At 35.2% G+C, this 20,500-nt stretch overlaps 1 protein-coding gene and 1 pseudogene across 7 annotated transcripts in view; both read right to left on the bottom strand.

Annotated features, from left to right (window-relative positions):
• MYCT1 (MYC target 1) overlaps positions 1-18,296 on the bottom strand; it is a 49,285-nt gene extending 30,989 nt beyond the window's left edge. For 4 of the 7 annotated variants that reach the window (XR_007059337.1, XR_007059339.1, XR_007059338.1 and 1 more), the window contains exon 1: positions 18,095-18,296. Coding sequence is in view for 4 of the 7 variants with exons in the window: in NM_025107.3 (NP_079383.2) it covers positions 18,095-18,290 (196 nt within the window). In the remaining 3 variants the exon portion in view is untranslated. The remainder of the gene's footprint in view (positions 1-18,094) is intronic. The other 3 variants (NM_001371624.1, NM_001371625.1, NM_001371626.1) reach the window with 1 other exon arrangement.
• Positions 9,878-10,465, bottom strand: HSPD1P16 (heat shock protein family D (Hsp60) member 1 pseudogene 16; annotated as a pseudogene).
• Positions 18,297-20,500: the final 2,204 nt, after the last annotated feature.

Genomic DNA, 20,500 nt, shown 5'->3' with positions numbered 1-20,500 from the left:
GTCTGTTTTCACAAACAAAAAGAAATCCAGAATTCAACTTCTCACTACCCACTCTGCGACTTCACTGATCCAAGTGGCCACATTCCCACATCTGTGACCTGGAATATGGTCTTCCTGCTTCTGTCCTTGCCATATCCCTCACACCCCAACAATGTGCTCAATGCAGTAGTCAGAGAGAACATTATAAAATGTAAGTCAAATCATATCAATCTTCTGTTCTAAATCCTCCACTTCTCCCAGAGTAAAAACAAATGCCTAAGAATATCCTAAAAGTCCCTACTTGATAGGCTCCCAATTATCTGAGCCCATCTCCTCTACTCTTCCTTTGGGTCACTGAGCTCTGTCTGCACTTCCCCCCTCACCATTCCTTAAGTACATCAGATGGGCTGGCTCCTGACTTAGGGCCCATCCCTGGTTGTAATCTATTCCTAAAATTATTTCCTCAGCTATCTGTATGGTTAATTTCAGGTCTTTTGCTTATATGTAAGTTTCTCATTGAGGTCTACCCTGGCTGCTCCACCTAAAATGACACCCTGTCCCACCTCTGAAGCCTAAATGGAATTCTTGTTTTTCTTTTTTCCTTCCTGGTTAATGGAAACTACATTCATTAATTTATACTCTAAGAAAATGTGAATGAGACGCATAACCATTATGAGCTGAAAATGTCATTATGTTTGAAAGATAGGAGGATAACATATATCTGGAAGGTTTAAAAAAGCTTCATGGAAAAAATAAATTGTAGATGCCTTTTTGTGAATGGTAGTGGTCAAATAAACAAAAGGCTTGGAGATTTGAAAGTAGTTTTGATCAAAATTATAAAGCACAAGCCATATTCTGAATATAATTAGTTAACAGTATTGCTAGAGGTGAGGGCAAATTCAAAAGTATCAAGGTAGCACACCCCTTTCTGTATATGATAGACTAACATGTATCAAACCAATGAGAGCAAGCGTACAATGGAGAATAAAATATTTTCTTAAATTTGTTTGAAGCCATCAGAGACTTATCAAAACTATTAAATCAAAGGAGCAAATTCCAGGAGAAAAGAAAATCTTTCATCACAATAATCTGTAAAAAGAAACAAAAATATCTGAGTAGAATGCTGTGCACTATAAGTAAGCTTAGAAAACATAAGTTGGTGTTCAGGGGCTGCCAAGGAAGTTGGACCCTAGGAAACATCCCAGAATCTGGAATTAGGCCCCCTAGGATCTACTCCCTAAGCTTAATGGTAAACAGGAGAAAGACCAGACCTCACAAAGATAAAAATATAGATCAATCCCAAGTTGGACTGAGGTGATCTTCCCCTAACTGCCAGAAGGAAAGTTTTATACATATATATGAAATAGAAAGTTATATACTTAAATAAATTTATATATACCTAATAATGTTATATATATATGTGTTATAAATAATAAATTACAAGTCATCCTAAGAGGCAAGACAAAGTAAACAAAAACTAAAAGAACAAATAGAAAATGGAAAAATATCTGTAAGTTATGAAAATATTTGAATTATCAGACAAAAATATTAAAATAACTTGATTAATGTGTTTAAAAAATTAACAAGTTAAAAATTTTCAGCAGAGATTGAGGATCTATAAAGAAAATTAAATAAAATACCTAATGAAAATTATAAAATATTTTAACTGAATTCTGATAAAATTGTGAAATATCGAAACATGTGAGATGTGCCTAAAGCCACATTCATAAGAACATTTATAGCTTTATAGGTATACATTTTAAAATAAGAAAGCCTACAAAAACAATTATTTCAGTTTCCATATTAAGAAGCTAGGAAAAGATCACTAGCTGAAACATAAGTAAAGTAGCATACAGTAAATAAGAGAAAGCAGAACTTAATGAAACAGGGGCAAAAAAAAAAAAAAAAGAAAAAGAAAAAATAGAGGAAATTATCAAAGCCAGATATGAAAAAAATCTAATAAAAATGAATAAAATACTAATTGGAACGACAAGGATGGAAAGAGGAGAGAAAGAGAAAGAGGGAAAAAGAGTGGGCAGGAGCAAGAGAAAGAGACAGAGAGAAAGAGAAAATCACCAATATCAAGAGTAAGAAATGTGACATTAGAACAGATACAGGCAATAAAAACATCAAGCTAGGATTCCAAATCAGCTTTTATGAACTGACCCTTTCAAGTAATAATGACTATGAACACTGAAAACAATATAAAAAAAAATTCTACCTAAAGGCCTTAAGAATGACCAAATGCTTGTAGCTACTGGAGAGGAGTTGAGACCTGGAAGAAAAGAACAGCAAGTACTAGTCAAGCTCCAGTTTTCAAACCTTTTAACCTGAGGGAAGCTTCCAGTCTGGGACAGGTAAAGCTACAGTCGAAAACCTGCACTGTTTCTGATCTTGAGAAACAAAGGACAGAGATTGTGGAAACAAGAGCTGCTGAGAATGTGAGAGGGAAATCCTGGAGAAGAGAAAGCCAGAGAGGAGAATCCCCAAATTTTATTTATAAACATTTCACATATCTTTGGTTGACTCCTGAATCACACATACGTGGGATGTATTCCAAACAGCACTAGAGAAAAAAAAATAAACTAAAGTGAGATTTAAGCTGCTGCCCAAGGGACAGGCTTTATAGGTTTCTGTAGTTGTAGTTCCACAGAGTTATTTGCCTGTGAAAATAAACTAGGGGGAAAACATACATCATAACACTCTTCAGGGTAATATAGCAGAATCCATTCAAAATGTTCAAGATACAATATGAAATTACTGGGCACATGAAGAAACAGGAAAATGTGATCCATTCTTAAGAGAAAAGACAGTCAACAAAAACAAACTTTAAGATGATCCAGACATAATTAGCAGACAAAAATTTTAAAGCAACTCATATGTCCATATTCAATGATTTCAAGTAAAACACTCACAATGAATAAAATGATAGGAAATTTCAGCAAAGAAATAGAAACTATAAGAAATAACAAAATGGATATTCTAAAACTAAAAAAATGAGAACTAAAAAATTTATACCATGAGCTTAACAGTGAAATTAAAATGAGAGAGAAAAGAATCGGCCAACTTAAAGGTGTATTAATAGAACTTATCCAATTTGAAAAATGGAGAAAAATATTGGGGGGAAAAAGCAAGCCTCTAGGCCTTGTGGAACTATATAAAAATATTTAACAAATGTGCAATTATAATCCCCCAAACAGAGGAAAGGGTGGATGGAGCTAAAAACATTTTGAATAAATGAGGCTGAAATTTTTCAAAATTAGTGAAACAAATTAATCTACAAATCAAGAGTCTCAGTAACATCAAGCAGAATATATATAAAGAACTATGCACGTCATAGTCAAACAGCTGAAGATCAAAGGTTAACAAAAAAAACTTGAACACAGCCAAATTACAAATAATAATAACATTACATTCATAAAAGACAATTATTTAAATACTCACTTTTAATAAGACACGGTGATATTTTAAAGTGATTTTAAAAAAGCTGTCAACTCAGAATTTTATATCCAGCAAAAGTATCCCTTAAGTATAGTAGTGAAATAAATACTCTTTCAGGGGGAGGAGCCAAGATGGCCGAATAGGAACAGCTCCGGTCTACAGCTCCCAGGGTGAGCGACGCAGAAGACGGGTGATTTCTGCATTTCCATCTGAGGTACCGGGTTCATCTCACTAGGGAGTGCCAGACAGTGGGCGCAGGCCAGTGTGTGTGCGCACCGTGCGCGAGCCGAAGCAGGGCGAGGCATTGCCTCACCTGGGAAGCGCAAGGGGTCAGGGAGTTCCCAGGAATTGAACAAGGATACCCAGGAATTGAACTCAGCTCTGCACCAAGCAGACCTAATAGACATCTACAGAACTCTCCACCCCAAATCAACAGAATATACATTTTTTTCAGCACCACACCACACCTATTCCAAAATTGACCACATAGTTGGAAGTAAAGCTCTCCTCAGCAAATGTAAAAGAACAGAAATTATAACAAACTATCTCTCAGACCACAGTGCAATCAAACTAGAACTCAGGATTAAGAATCTCACTCAAAGCCGCTCAACTACATGGAAACTGAACAACCTGCTCCTGAATGACTACTGGGTACATAACGAAATGAAGGCAGAAATAAAGATGTTCTTTGAAACCAACGAGAACAAAGACACCACATACCAGAATCTCTGGGACGCATTCAAAGCAGTGTGTAGAGGGAAATTTATAGCACTAAATGCCTACAAGAGAAAGCAGGAAAGATCCAAAATTGACACCCTAACATCACAATTAAAAGAACTAGAAAAGCAAGAGCAAACACATTCAAAAGCTAGCAGAAGGCAAGAAATAACTAAAATCAGAGCAGAACTGAAGGAAATAGAGACACAAAAAACCCTTCAAAAAATCAATGAATCCAGGAGCTGGTTTTTTGAAAGGATCAACAAAATTGATAGACCGCTAGCAAGACTAATAAAGAAAAAAAGAGAGAAGAATCAAATAGACACAATAAAAAATGATAAAGGGGATATCACCACCGATCCCACAGAAATACAAACTACCATCAGAGAATACTACAAACACCTCTACGCAAATAAACTAGAAAATCTAGAAGAAATGGATACATTCCTCGACACATACACTCTCCCAAGACTAAACCAGGAAGAAGTTGAATCTCTGAATAGACCAATAACAGGCTCTGAAATTGTGGCAATAATCAATAGTTTACCAACCAAAAAGAGTCCAGGACCAGATGGATTCACAGCCGAATTCTACCAGAGGTACAAGGAGGAACTGGTACCATTCCTTCTGAAACTATTCCAATCAATAGAAAAAGAGGGAATCCTCCCTAACTCATTTTATGAGGCCAGCATCATTCTGATACCAAAGCCAGGCAGAGACACAACCAAAAAAGAGAATTTTAGACCAATATCCTTGATGAACATTGATGCAAAAATCCTCAATAAAATACTGGCAAACCGAATCCAGCAGCACATCAAAAAGCTTATCCACCATGATCAAGTGGGCTTCATCCCTGGGATGCAAGGCTGGTTCAATATACGCAAATCAATAAATGTAATCCAGCATATAAACAGAGCCAAAGACAAAAACCACATGATTATCTCAATAGATGCAGAAAAAGCCTTTGACAAAATTCAACAACCCTTCATGCTAAAAACTCTCAATAAATTAGGTATTGATGGGACGTATTTCAAAATAATAAGAGCTATCTATGACAAACCCACAGCCAATATCATACTGAATGGGCAAAAACTGGAAGCATTCCCTTTGAAAACTGGCACAAGACAGGGATGCCCTCTCTCACCACTCCTATTCAACATAGTGTTGGAAGTTCTGGCCAGGGCAATCAGGCAGGAGAAGGAAATAAAGGGTATTCAATTAGGAAAAGAGGAAGTCAAATTGTCCCTGTTTGCAGACGACATGATTGTTTATCTAGAAAACCCCATCGTCTCAGCCCAAAATCTCCTTAAGCTGATAAGCAACTTCAGCAAAGTCTCAGGATACAAAATCAATGTACAAAAATCACAAGCATTCTTATACACCAACAACAGACAAACAGAGAGCCAAATCACGGGTGAACTCCCATTCACAATTGCTTCAAAGAGAATAAAATACCTAGGAATCCAACTTACAAGGGATGTGAAGGACCTCTTCAAGGAGAACTACAAACCACTGCTCAAGGAAATAAAAGAGGAGACAAACAAATGGAAGAACATTCCATGCTCATGGGTAGGAAGAATCAATATCGTGAAAATGGCCATACTGCCCAAGGTAATTTACAGATTCAATGCCATCCCCATCAAGCTACCAATGACTTTCTTCACAGAATTGGAAAAAACTACTTTAAAGTTCATATGGAACCAAAAAAGAGCCCGCATTGCCAAGTCAATCCTAAGCCAAAAGAACAAAGCTGGAGGCATCACACTACCTGACTTCAAACTATACTACAAGGTTACAGTAACCAAAACAGCATGGTACTGGTACCAAAACAGAGATATAGATCAATGGAACAGAACAGAGCCCTCAGAAATAATGCCGCATATCTACAACTATCTGATCTTTGACAAACCTGAGAAAAACAAGCAATGGGGAAAGGATTCCCTATTTAATAAATGGTGCTGGGAAAACTGGCTAGCCATATGTAGAAAGCTGAAACTGGATCCCTTCCTTACACCTTATACAAAAATCAATTCAAGATGGATTAAAGATTTAAACGTTAAACCTAAAACCATAAAAACCCTAGAAGAAAACCTAGGCATTACCATTCAGGACATAGGCGTGGGCAAGGACTTCATGTCCAAAACACCAAAAGCAATGGCAACAAAAGACAAAATTGACAAATGGGATCTAATTAAACTAAAGAGCTTCTGCACAGCAAAAGAAACTACCATCAGAGTGAACAGGCAACCTACAACATGGGAGAAAATTTTCGCAACCTACTCATCTGACAAAGTGCTAATATCCAGAATCTACAATGAACTCAAACAAATTTACAAGAAAAAAACAAACAACCCCATCAAAAAGTGGGCGAAGGACATGAACAGACACTTCTCAAAAGAAGACATTTATGCAGCCAAAAAACACATGAAGAAATGCTCATCATCACTGGCCATCAGAGAAATGCAAATCAAAACCACTATGAGATATCATCTCACACCAGTTAGAATGGCAATCATTAAAAAGTCAGGAAACAACAGGTGCTGGAGAGGATGCGGAGAAATAGGAACACTTTTACACTGTTGGTGGGACTGTAAACTAGTTCAACCATTGTGGAAGTCAGTGTGGCGATTCCTCAGGGATCTAGAACTAGAAATACCATTTGACCCAGCCATCCCGTTACTGGGTATATACCCAAATGAGTATAAATCATGCTGCTATAAAGACACATGCACACGTATGTTTATTGCGGCACTATTCACAATAGCAAAGACTTGGAACCAACCCAAATGTCCAACAATGGTAGACTGGATTAAGAAAATGTGGCACATATACACCATGGAATACTATGCAGCCATAAAAAATGATGAGTTCATATCCTTTGTAGGGACATGGATGAAATTGGAAACCATCATTCTCAGTAAACTATCGCAAGAACAAAAAACCAAACACCGCATATTCTCACTCATAGGTGGGAATTGAACAATGAGATCACATGGACACAGGAAGGGGAATATCACACTCTGGGGACTGTGGTGGGGTCGGGGGAGGGGGGAGGGATAGCATTGGGAGATATACCTAATGCTAGATGACACATTAGTGGGTGCAGCGCACCAGCATGGCACATGTATACATATGTAACTAACCTGCACAATGTGCACATGTACCCTAAAACTTAGAGTATAATAAAAAAAAAAATAAAAAAATAAATACTCTTTCAGGTGAAACAGAATTCAAATTAATCACCAGCACACCTACACTAAAACATGTGCTGAAGAAAATCCTTAGTCTGGGGATAATGAAAACTGGGATCTTTAAGAAGAAATTGAGACCATCAGAAATAGTATCAGAGTAAATATAGAAGACTCTTTTCCATCAATTTCTTTAAAATATATTTTTCTAGCTAGAGCAAAAATTAAAATATTTTCATATGAAATGTATAGTTTATATAGATTTAATATGTAATAATTATAATACAAAGAATTGGGACAGGATATAAATAAATCTATTAGCTTGATTGATTGATTTAGTTTTTAAGAGATTTTAGAGACAGGGACTTACTATATCATCCAGGCTGGTCTCAAAGTTTTGGGCTCAAATGACCCTCCCACCTCAGTCTCCAAGTAACTGAGACTACAGGCACACACCAATGCACTCAGCTATTAGCTTGTTTTTTATATTGAAAATCTTATGTATTCTAAAATATAACTACAAATTATATTAAGCAAGACTGCAGAATGTAAGACTTATATATAAAAATACGTTTATATACTAGCAGCAAACAACTGGAAAGTATAATTACACCATTACAATAGCATCATTAAGCATAACATACCTAGGCATCTTTTTTTACAAAATGTATGCAAGATGTCTGCACCACAAATTTTGAAATACTACTGAAATAAATTAAAGGTCTAAAAAGTGGAGAGATATACTATATTTGTGAATTACAAGCCTCAATATTATTAAGATGCCAACTGCCCTTAAATTTATTTATATAAATAAATTTATATAACTAAATCAACTAAAAGTCCAATAAACAGGCTGTTTGTATTATTTTACAAATGACCCTAAGTTGTATATGATGACAATACAAAGGAACAATAAAAGCAAAGCTGGAAGCATCACACCACTTGATTTTAAAATATACTACAAAGCTATAATAGTCAAAACAGCAAGGTACTGGCATTTACATAGACATTTAGATTAATGAAACATAATAGGGAGGAAGCCCAGTAATAAATCCATGCATTTGTGACAATTGGTATTTGACAACAGTATCAAAAATGCACAATGGGGAAATTATTGCCTCTTCAATAAGAGGTAATGGGAAAACTGCATATCCACATGCAGAAGAATAAAACTGGACCCTTATCTCATACTATATAGAAAAATCAAGTCAAACTGGATTAAAGATACAAACCTAAGACCAGAAACCCAAAAAACTACTAGAGGACAACATAGGGAAAAAGCTTGATATTGATCTGGGCAATTATATTTTTGCATATGACAGCACAGGAAAAAAGCAAAAATAGACAAGTAGAATTGTGTCAAACTACAAAGCTTCTGCACAGTAAAGGAAATAATCAACAGAGAGAAGAGACGCCTACAGAATGAGAGAAAATATTTGCAAACCGTATATCTGATGAGAAGTTAACATCTAAAGTATATAAGAAGCTCACACAACACAAAAGCAAGAAAACAAATAATCTGTTTACAAAATGAGCAAAGGACCTGAATAGACATCTCTCAAAAGAAGCCCCACAAATGACCAATAGGTAGATGAAAAAATGCTCAACATAACTACTCATCAGGGAAACGCAAATCAAAGCCACAATGGAATATCATCTCACACATGCCAAAATGCCTATTATCAAAAAGACAAAAGATAATGAGTGCTGGTGAGGATGTGGAGAAAAGGAAACTGTACAGTGTTGATGAAAATGTAAATTGATGCAGCCATTGTGGAAAATAGTATGAAGGTTCCTCAAAAATTAAAAATAGAACTACCATAGAATTCAGCAATCCCTCCAGGTGTACATTAAAAGGAAATGAGATCAGAATCTCTAAGAGATATCTGCACTTCCATGTTCATTGCAGCATTGTCACAATGGCCAAAATACATAATCCACCTAAGTGTCCATCATCAGATGAATGGATAAATATGGTGACATATATATGCATACACACACACACACACACACACACACATATATGGTTTCTATAATGGAAATGTTATATTTCAGATGCTCTTAGACTTATGATGAGGTTGGATTTAGATAAATCCATCGTACATTGAAAATACCATAAGTCAAAAATGCATTTAATACCCCTAACTTTTAACCAAACTTCATAGCTTAGCTTAGCCTACCTTAAATATGCACACAATACTTACATTAGCCTAAAATTAGGCAAAATCATCTAACAACATCCAGCTTTATAATAATAAAAGGTAGTATTTTTAACTTTAAACAAACTTTTATTACACAAAAGTTGTCACATAATTGGATATTTGTCTACTTTGTACACGATTATTCTCACTCTCCACAGAAAGGCTGCTTAACTTCTCATCTGGTGGTGGCAAGCACCAAAATCCTGATTTTAAGAAAATAGTAGTAAAAATACCTCAGCGATTTAAGTTGAAAGCAGTACATTGTACGTGGCTCTTGTACTCAGTATCAGGAATATACAAATGTCTTTTTATTCAAAAATACAAAATAAATTATCTGTAGGCATGAACAATGACAGCAGTAAACCATTATACAGTTTGTCAACTGAAACCAGTAACTGATGGTTACAGTGATTTCTTAAACATCAGCCAGCCTTTCCTTCATTTTCTCCAACTGACTTCTCTGAAGTTATTGGTGAGGAACTCTGCCTTGGGCTTCCTGTCACAGTTCATTAATAAAGGTAAAGCACTATTCTAGGAGTTAGAACATGCCACCTCTCATACCACCTCCCATTCCACCCATTGCACCCATTCCAGGGTCCTTCTCTTTTTTTAGGAATTTTTGTGACTACAATTTCTGCTGTAGTTAATGGAGAGGCCACACCAGCAGCATCCGATAAAGCAGCTCTCACAATCTTTGTTGGGTCAATAATTGCTTTTTCCACCATATTCACAAAATCTCTGACCATAGCATCGTAACCAACTTCTGAGGAACTTTGCATAATTTTCTCAACAATCAAAGATCTTTCAACACTTGCATTCTTAGCAATGGTCATTGCTGGAATTTTGAGTGTTCTTTTAATAATTTCCATACCAGTTTTTTTATCTCAGTCAGCTGGAGTCTATGAGTCCAAGGCTGGAATACACCAAAGAAGGGGAAAATTTTATAATAATAATAATAAATTAAAATAATAAACATTAAAGATCAAAATTCAAAATATAGTTTCTACTGAATGTGTATCATTTTCATATCATCTTAAAGTCAAAAAAATTGTAAGTTGAACTATCATAAGTCAGGGACCATCTGTATATAATAAGGGAATGTTATTACTCAGCATTAAAAAAAAAATCCTGTCATTTTCAGCAACCTAGATGAACCTGGAGGACATTATGCTAAGTGAAATAAACCAGGCACAGAAGGACAAATACAGCCAGCCTCTAATCTAACTTACCATGGTTAGATTTGGGATTTTTTGGCTACGATGGTGCAAAAGCCATAAGCATTCAGTAGAAACTGTACTTCCAGTACCCATATGACCATTTCGCTTTTCACTTTCAGTATAGCGTTCAACAAACTACATGAGCTATTTAACATTTTTTAATAAAATAGGCTTGGTGTTAGATGATTTTGCTCAACTGTAGGCTAATGTAAGTGTTCTGAGCACATTTAAGTTAGGCTATGCTAAGCTATGATGTTCAGTAGCTTAGCTCTAGTAAATACAGTTTCAACCTGATATTTTCAACTTACAAGGAGTTTGTCTGGATATAACCCCATCGTAAATGGACGAGCATCTGTACTGCATGACTGCACTTATTTGTGGAATGTAAAAAAGAAGAAGTTATAAAAGCAGAGAATGATGATTGCCAGTGATTTGGGGGTGAGGGAAAAAGGGAGATGCTGAGAGAAAAATGCAGTTTCAGTTGCGCAGGAGCTTGGAGCCCTAACATACAATATAGTGACTGTAGTTATGAAATTATTTCTTATACTTGAAATTGGCCAAAAAAGTAGGTCTTAGATGTTCTTACCACCAAAAATAAAGCTAACTACCTCAGGTGATGGTTGTATTAATTAGCTTGATTGTGGTAATCATTTTATAATATATATGTATATCAAAATATCATGTTGGACACCTTAAATATATTGTTTTTATTTGCCAATTATACCTCAATAAAGCCTGGGAGTGAGAAAATACAAAAAGTCACGAAAAGCCAAAGTAATCCTGAAAGAGAAAAACAGTTAATAATATATTGTATAGTTTCAAATATCTAGAAGATATTTTGAATGTTCTTGCACAAAGAAATAATAAATGTTTGCAGTGATGGATGTGCTGATTACCCTGATTTGATCATTACACATTGTATACTTGTTTTGGTGTTTCACTCTGTACCCCATAAGTATGTACAATTATGTGATAAAAATTGTTTAAAAAATAAAAAGGAGAATAAAGTTGGAAGATTTACGTAACTTCAAGACTTACTATAAAAATCAACAAATGACACAGAATGGAGATCTCAGCAATAGCCTTACACTTACATGACCATTTGATTTTCAACAAAGGTGCCAAAGGACTTGAATAGAGAAAGTCTTGGCTGGACACAGTGGCTCAGGCCTGTAATCCCAGCACTTTGGGAGGCCAAGGTGGGCAAATCGCTTGAGCCCAGGAGTTTGAGACTAGTCTGGGCAACATGGCAAAGCCTTGTCTCTACAAATACAAAAAGAAAAAAATTAGCCTGGTGCGGTGACATACACCTGTAGTCCCAGCTATGTGGGAGGCTGAGGTGGGATGATCACTTGAGCCCAGGAAGTTGAAGCTGCAGTGAGCTGTGATTGCACCACTGCACTCCACCCATGTGGCAGAGTGAGACCCTGTCTCAAAAATAAAATAAAATAAAATAAAATAAAATAAAATAAAATAAAATAAAATAAAATAAAATAAAATAAAATAAAAAACAGGGAAAATATTTTCAAGAAATTGTGCAGAAAAAGCTGGATATCAATATGAAAACAATCCCTCAATTTCTACACTATATGCAAAAATTTAATTGGAAGTGGACAGTTATGGATCCTAAATATGAAAGCTAAAATCTTAAAGTCTTAAAGCCTTTAGACTGGGAGGGGGCATTTGGAAACTTTTTGGGCCAGTGATTATGTATCTTGATTGGGCTTTGGGTTACTCAAGTGTGTGTGTCAAAATTCTACAAAGGTTCTGTTATGATTTGTACACTTCATTTTTATGCACCTTATATGTTTCATTGTATGTAAACTTGACTTTAAAGGGAAAAGAGTTGCAAAACAATTGAATTCCTGTTAATGATATGCATACTAAAGTAATTAGGGGGAACTGTATTGATGCCTTTAGTTTACTTTGAAATATATTGACTAATAGAATGACAAAGAAAATGAGTATTATAAAAATGTTACAGATAGAATTCAGATGGTAAGGTATATGGATGTTCACTGTAGAATTCTTCAAATATTTATGTATGTTTGAACATTTTCATAATAAAATGTTGAAAAACTAATGAGAATGGCATAAACAACATTTAAGCAATATATTTTGAAATTTAATTCAAATGGTCAAATTCCTGGAAAACACAAACTCCCTTCACTAACAGAATTGATAGAAAATCTGAGTAGTTCACCATTGTTAAAGAAATGGAATGTGCCATTTAAAACCCTCCAATTGAAAATACTACATATAGTTACAATAGGGAATTTTCCCAAGCACTTAAACAATAAACAATGCCCTCTTATACAAACCTTTCCCAGTAATAGAAAAGTAGGGAAAACGTCCCAATTTGTTTTACAAGGCTTGCATAACATTGATACCTGACAAAGCTATCAGAGAAAGGACAGTTATAGGCCACTTTCTCTCATGAATTTAGATGCAGAAGTTTGAGGTCAGGGATGTATTAAAAAGTCCAGTCTTATGGGTTCCATCTCACATCTGTTGAATCATAATCTCTGAGCATGGAGTCCAGTGAGATGAGTTTTCATAATTCTTAGTAATTCTGATGCATTTTGAAGACAAGCATTTGTAAATGTTTGTTTTTCAAACTTTCTAGGTAACTGAGATAGGGGAACTAATGAATAGACTATTAATATGCAACACAGACATTTCTTTTTAAAATACAAATTGAAAAAACGAATTTGAGACATAGTATTTGTTTCCAAATTTGGGGAAGATATAGTGGAAATTCTTGGGACATATGCCCAGGCCATAAACCTGTTCCCCTCTTAACTTCTTGGGGAACATCCTATGCCCATCTGCTGGGGTGGTCCCTAAGGGCCATATTTTTCTACAGGCTAAAGAACAGTATTTGCTGCTAGTAGCCAGGGATCCCTCCTCTTGACAGCACTTGATCCCCAACAAATCAGTTCACAACCCTGCATCTCATCAATTACCTTAGAGAGAATTAAGTCTGTTAGCAAGGATGCATAGAAAAAGGAAAAGTCAATACTTCACATTTAAATTACTAAATAATTTTTTAAACATATAGAATAAATAATTGTTTGAAAGCCAACATTTTTACTGCAATAGTTGGATATTTCGAAATAGAAAAGAGTGCTTTGAGTTTCTTTGTTTGGTTCAGTTTCTAAAAGCTAACAGCCTAAAGGACTTAAGAACATAACTTTTTATCATAAACAGTATAGGAAAGAATAAACCATGGCCTATGAGTCAATTTCCATGCATCTAAAGAGGAGGAGCTTTGGGGAGACAAAGAGAAGAGCTATATAGAATACGACCTGTAAGGGTTTTGGAGAAGGGAAGCATCACTCTCCAGCCCTCCCTGTGATGAGCTACAGATTGATTAGGGAATCCCAGAGGAACTGGTACTTATTTCCAGCTTCCTGGGAAAGATGGCAAGCCGCTCTGAGAACCCTTGGGTATCTGAAGGGCAGATAAGGAAGTGAGGTAGGGAGCAGGGGACATAGTGTTACTGCATCCAGGCCAAGGGCACCTGATGTAGCCCAACCTCCTAAGGAAGGCTCCTGCAGCTCTAGGGTTACGGGACAATATTGAAAATTATTCTGTGCCATTGAGACAGATGGAGAAGTACCCGAATAAGGGCCAGTAGACCAGAGGGATTTACAGAAAGGAAAAGCCATGCTGTTAGCTAATATTACACAGATCATGTGAGCCAGATTTTATAGTAGGAGATTTCGGCAGTGAAAATCAGAGAAAGGGCAATGTCTCAAAAGCTGATGAGAAATACATGTCAGTAGATGTCAGCAGAGGCCAGAACTTGATCAAGCACAAAGGTCCCCCCTCTCCAATACACAGAATATATAACCCCTCCACCCCTCCACCCATCCACACACCCTCTCCAACCTTAAAGAAAATTCCCAGAGGGAGGAATATGGAGAGATTATAAATCACTGGATTGCAAGTGATCAGGCTTAATTAGATCAAACTTTCACGCTGACATTCAAATCTTGCAGAAATCTGCCTCCAACCTGCCTTACAAACTATGTCCCTGAAACGACCACACACAGAATCTCTAGCCAAGACGTTCTTTTCTCCACAAACATGCCTGGGTGTTTTTACTTCTGCATATTTGCTGGTGACATTTTTCCTGAGCTCCCCAAACCTCTTGAAATGCCTTATTTGTGTCACTGACTCCTAACACATTGCCTAATATGGTCAGCGAACGCTTCTGAGTGAACTAATGAACTGGATGAGAATGAGTTGGTGAGGGAAAAAAATGAATGACTAGAATGTCCTTCTTAGAATTATCTCCCTGTCTGAAATTTATCTTTCTAGGAACAGATAGCACCTCATTTTTTTTCTGAGAAAGATTTAGGGATTATTTCTGCCATATATTGTTTTAACTCATATTATCAACCATTGCTATTTTATCATATGTTATCTTGTATTATTCCACAACTATATAGGTTTGTATGTGCATATGTAGCATATGTATAGACGCATAATTGCCTCCAAGAGCATAATCCTTTTGAGACAGACATTGTACTTTTGGTGAGAATTGAATTAAGTGAATAAATGCAAACTCCTGCAACCACATCTTCCCCCAACTTTTCACAAAGCTAGCCATAAGGAAAAAAATGCAAAGCAAGACAGCAGAAACAACCAAAACTACGTCTTCTACAGGACTCTCAAGTACTGAGAGAATAACTGAGTTCAGTATTTGTCTCCTATTGCCTTAGAGGAGGACATGGCAAATTTTCACGGGCCATGTTTCCTGCAGCTTTCATGGGAATGTTTATAGAGAAAGGAAGTGCGTTAAAGAAAGCAAAAATAGGGAGTGGAAGGTGATAGTCTGCATCTGTGTTGTCACTTTCAGGCTAACTTTGTTGCCAACCCTTGCACTTAAATGCTTGCACACCTTTAGGAAGTTTTAGTGGGTGATAGCTATGAAAATGCAAGCTATTGTTTTTGGTAATAACCCGATATTATTATGCCATCATTTAGCGCTCATTAAAGTAAACCAGAAAAGTTATATTGGGAAAACAACTTTTTCTGTACCTTAAAGTGTGCTACGTCTGAGCAATTTATATGGTTCAATGTACAAGTTTTCCTTTTCTAAGCTGTTTTTCTTTATTTTCCAAATTCAATGTGCCAAGCAGATGACTGATTTTGGAAGCAATAACAATGCATTACACTGCATTGTACAAGATTCTCAAAATAATATTTTTGAGGAGTCAGTGGTCAAAATAGACATCAATTTAGATACACAAAAGCAATGGAAATTTAAAAGATTGACATTTATATTTCAGGAAATGTATACATTTTATATGTTTATATTTTTATTCACATTTTATACTTCATATTTTTACCCCAGAGGCAATAATACAATCTTTTATATATTTTCCTAAAATCATCAAACATTATATCTGCTCTCCATGTTTCCATTGGCTTTGTTAATGTTTATCAATGTAACACTCCCCTTTCTGGTTTTCATTATTTTCATCTAATTTTCATTACAGTCACATAACAAGAGAAAGGAAAAACTAGTATTTGGCTTTGAAATAACAGGTTTTAATTCCCTCTTAAGCACAGATTTCCATATTAAAAATATCTAAATTTTTAGAATCAATAGGTGAACTCCAACTAAACATTCTCTTATTAATATCAAGTTTATTTTAATCTTTTAGTCAGTGAATAATGATTTGTTTTTTTAAGTAAACCTGAAATTTAATTTTGAATGGTTTGAAAAAAATAGATTGACTTCTACATATTAATTTTTGCAAAAACTACTTTACTTTTGAATAATTTATACAGAACACTTTTATAATGATGAATTTGATTTAGACAGACTCTAGCTCTTTTTCAGTGTGCATTTAGCACTTATTTTCTCTATAAGTGAGGACAGCAAATAATATTTTAACAAGCATATAATCAGACATCTACAATTCAAAGGCTTCTGTCTAGTGCTAGCTACCTAAAATAACCTATTACCAAAGCCTTTCTTTACAATGTACTAGAATAATCTTTTTTCTTCTTCTTAATTCTGTTACATAAATTTATTAGGAGCTCACCAATATCCTTCCTTTTCAGTCTTCCAGCAAACATAAATGTAGGTGAGAAAAAAAGAATGAGTTAATTCTTTTTTTTCTTATGCTGAATTTTAATATCTTTTAAAACCAATAAATATTTGTCCCCACATTTTTCATCTAAGAAAGTACATAGGTTAAAGGACTGGAGTGAATTCTTTTCATGCAAATTTCTGTGATGGTAGACATATAGATTGCTGGGAAAAGTCGGCCACTACTGCTCACTGTTTATGTGAAAGTTCCCAAAACCCCACCTTGAATCACAGCAGAAAGTCTGAATTGTACACTGAGAGGATTAAAAACTTGTTCTGGCCATATAAACAGATCTGTCCATATATACTATTTTCTTCATTAAAGTGTTTTTCTGAATTTAATTTAAATTGCCTCCTTTAATATAAAAATTTCCCTGAACCCAAGAGTACATGTCAACTCCCCATGTGAGCCCATCTTCTTTGTACCTCTAACCTGGAGCAACTGAGTTTTGACCTCAGCACAGTCCCATTGTCAACATCAGGGAACACTGGACTGTTAGCTGTGGCTGGACTCAGACAAAAAATTCTCCAAAAAATACTTTTGTATTGTTCTTTCCCCCCAACCCCTGTGATAGGATTCCATTGAATGTTACACGTGATGTTATTTCCACTTAATCTTTTCTACTATAGTTTTCTCAAATTTCATATTATTCCATGTTTTATTTGTTATACTCTAAAGTCATTCATTTATTTTACCTGTGTTATTGCACTTTAAATTCACTCATTTAAGTACAGATGTTATTAGGATTCACTTTGGAAATTAAAGCATATAACATTCACAACATAAGTGAAAATAGCCTCTATGGAAAATCTCAGTTTCATAAAATAAAATATATAATCTATAACCTTCAAACAAATGAAAGTTAATTTTTCCAACAAAATCTACATGCCATATTCTAAGCAGGAATTACCTCCACCTTATGTTTTTTATTTTTATCCTCACTATTTCCTAATTATATTTTGTAACACCAGCCAAAATCTGTACTTAATACCCAGATTCTTCTTGAATATCTTCATAGAACACTATAAAGACAAATAAATATATAAGTATATATTTATATCTATAAATATATTTCTGCTAATAAACGTATGAAATAGATTTCTGTTAATAAACATGAAAACTTTAAGTAATCACATTATAGTAAACAAAATGTCTCAGAGATTTTCACTGTTTTAATAATCACGCAGTGCATTTCTTACATCCTAATTTTAAATTTTAAACAGTAAAAGAAAATACCTTACCCCAAAAGTTTTCTGGCCATGGACTCCCTAAACTTGTTGTGTTATTAGCCATAATATCCACAAGAAATAGAAGAAAGAGAAGAAAAACAGAAAGAAAAACCAGTATGTCGAAAAAAAGCAGTTTGATTCTATCTCTTTGTAGTACAGCAAGAGAAAAATAATTTTTACACAACCCCTCATATACTTGTGTTCGCATAAAAGGAAATAAGTGTATCATGTTTCCTGCTTTTATACTCAAATTAGCAACTGTTTTTCTTATCTTGGAATTCCACATGGTTCCTGAGACACAAAACAATGTCCTTTTCATCATTTCCTCAGCTAAGTTCCTAAGTTCTCTCCTCTCAGCCACCTCCAAAACTGCTTTTAGGATAACAGGGTTGTGTGTGTGTGTGTGTGTTTGTGTGTGTGTGTGTGTGTGTTTCCTCATCCCCTACTGACATGGAAAGGAAGACTCCAAACTCTCAGCTACAGCACCTTGAATTAAATGTATACAGAATTGAGAAATAGACCACGTTCCAATGCTTGAAAATTAAATTTATATAGTAAATTGGGGGAAAGGACTATTCAAAACTCAGATACTTACTAAATTCTTTGTTGTTGTTGTTGTTGTTGTTTTTGAGACTTAGTCTCGCTCTGTCGCCCAGGCTGGAGTGCAGTGGTACGATCTCGGCTCACTGCAACCTGCCCCTCCCAGGTTCAAGCGATTCTCCTGCCTCAGCCTCCAGAGTAGCTGGGATTACAGGCGCGTGCCACCACACCCGGCTAATTTTTGTATTTTTACTAGAGATGGAGTTCCACCATGTTGGCCAGGCTGGTCATGAACTAGGCCTGACCTCAAGTGATCCACCTGCTTTGGCCTCCCAAAGTGCTGGGATTACAGCCATGCGCCACTGCGCTCGGCCACTATATTCTTAACATGTCTGTTTCTCTATTTGGTATACAAATTTTGAAAGTTATTTAATTCATTTCATAAATATCTAAGTGTAATTTATATAAAATTTGTGTTACTCTTTACTTAGTATTTAGTATGAAAAAACAGTTTCTACATTGAAGAAATATATTTAAAATCAAGGAGGGAAAACATAAATGCAAAATTTTTCATTACAAAGTTTGTTAAGTGCTATAACAAAGGGTACAACGATCTCAGGAATTTGTTTTTTATAGAGAAGTTTGAGAACTGATATAGGAAAGAGTTACATGAAACATTTTGAGAAACACAAGTTAGTTAACATTTCAAGAGTCTTTCCTCAAGCTTTGCTTGTTTAGACTGGATCCTCTGAGGACTTTGGAGGCACTGGAAATTGTGAATAACGTGTCAAACTGCACCTAGTAACTGCGCTAAACTGCATTCCATGATCTGGCTTCATCAATCTTTGAGTAACTCTAGCCTGAACTCTTGCATATATCTTGTATTAATCATATTCTAACTTATTAGTCATTAGAATATGACTTAGTGCAAAGTAGTATTCCTCTTTGTGAAGTCTGTAATATATTCCTGAGTAGTTCTAAGAAAACAACAAAAAAAGACAGTTATATTAATTTTTGCAGTCCTGCTTCTTCCAAAATGAGGTTGTTTCTGATCAGTCTCATTTTTTTGTGAATTTAAGTATAAATTTATTAGAAATTAAAATATAAATCATCTAAGAGAATTATAAAACGTCATAGAAAATTTAGAGAATTCACTGAGCAAATATAAAGACTCACCTCTATAATATTCTTGCTAAAGTTTATTTTCAAATAATCCAGTAAATAAAAGCTCCTACTATTACTTAACAGACAAAAAGGGCTTACATTTCAACAGTTGTCTTTACTTTTCAATATTGTTAACAAAGTTCATAAAAATAGAAAATTAAAAGAACATGTTATTTCTGAAGAAAATGTAATCTGGATGAAAGTATATTGAAATACTAATCACTTTACTGTTCTAAAAGCATCGAGTACGATTCTTAATTACTAAATGTATTTTTAAATACACATTTTGCATTATTAAAGGTTACCTGATTGCAATAAATCCTAATTTCAAAGGTGTATATAATTTCCTAAACACTGCATAGATTGCATTTTCCTTAAAATAAACCAAAATGAGTGGAATGGGTAACTGACATTGTCTCAACTGCCTTCTGTGCAGAAACAGAGCTCATTCCATTTCAGGGCTGGGATACAGGCTGACACTTCCTTTCATTGTTCTATGTTGAACTATGCAGATTTTCTCCCAATGGGTTTTCATTTTTGCAGATGGCCACAACCCAGTCAAAACTCTAAAGAAAATGTGTTTCTTAAATCAGTTTATGACCTAGGAATAGCTTGCTTGTGGACAGCACTGGCTCTTGTCTGTGTATGTAATTTGCTTGGTAAGGGTTCATACCTTTCCCTGGCATGGATCTATCTAAGTGAATGTTTATGTCT

The sequence above is a fragment of the Homo sapiens genome, chromosome 6, assembly GCF_000001405.40.
Source record: "Homo sapiens chromosome 6, GRCh38.p14 Primary Assembly".
NCBI lineage: Eukaryota > Metazoa > Chordata > Mammalia > Primates > Hominidae > Homo > Homo sapiens.
Note: the sequence above shows the minus strand (reverse complement) of the source record. Positions and strands in the feature narration are given on the sequence as shown.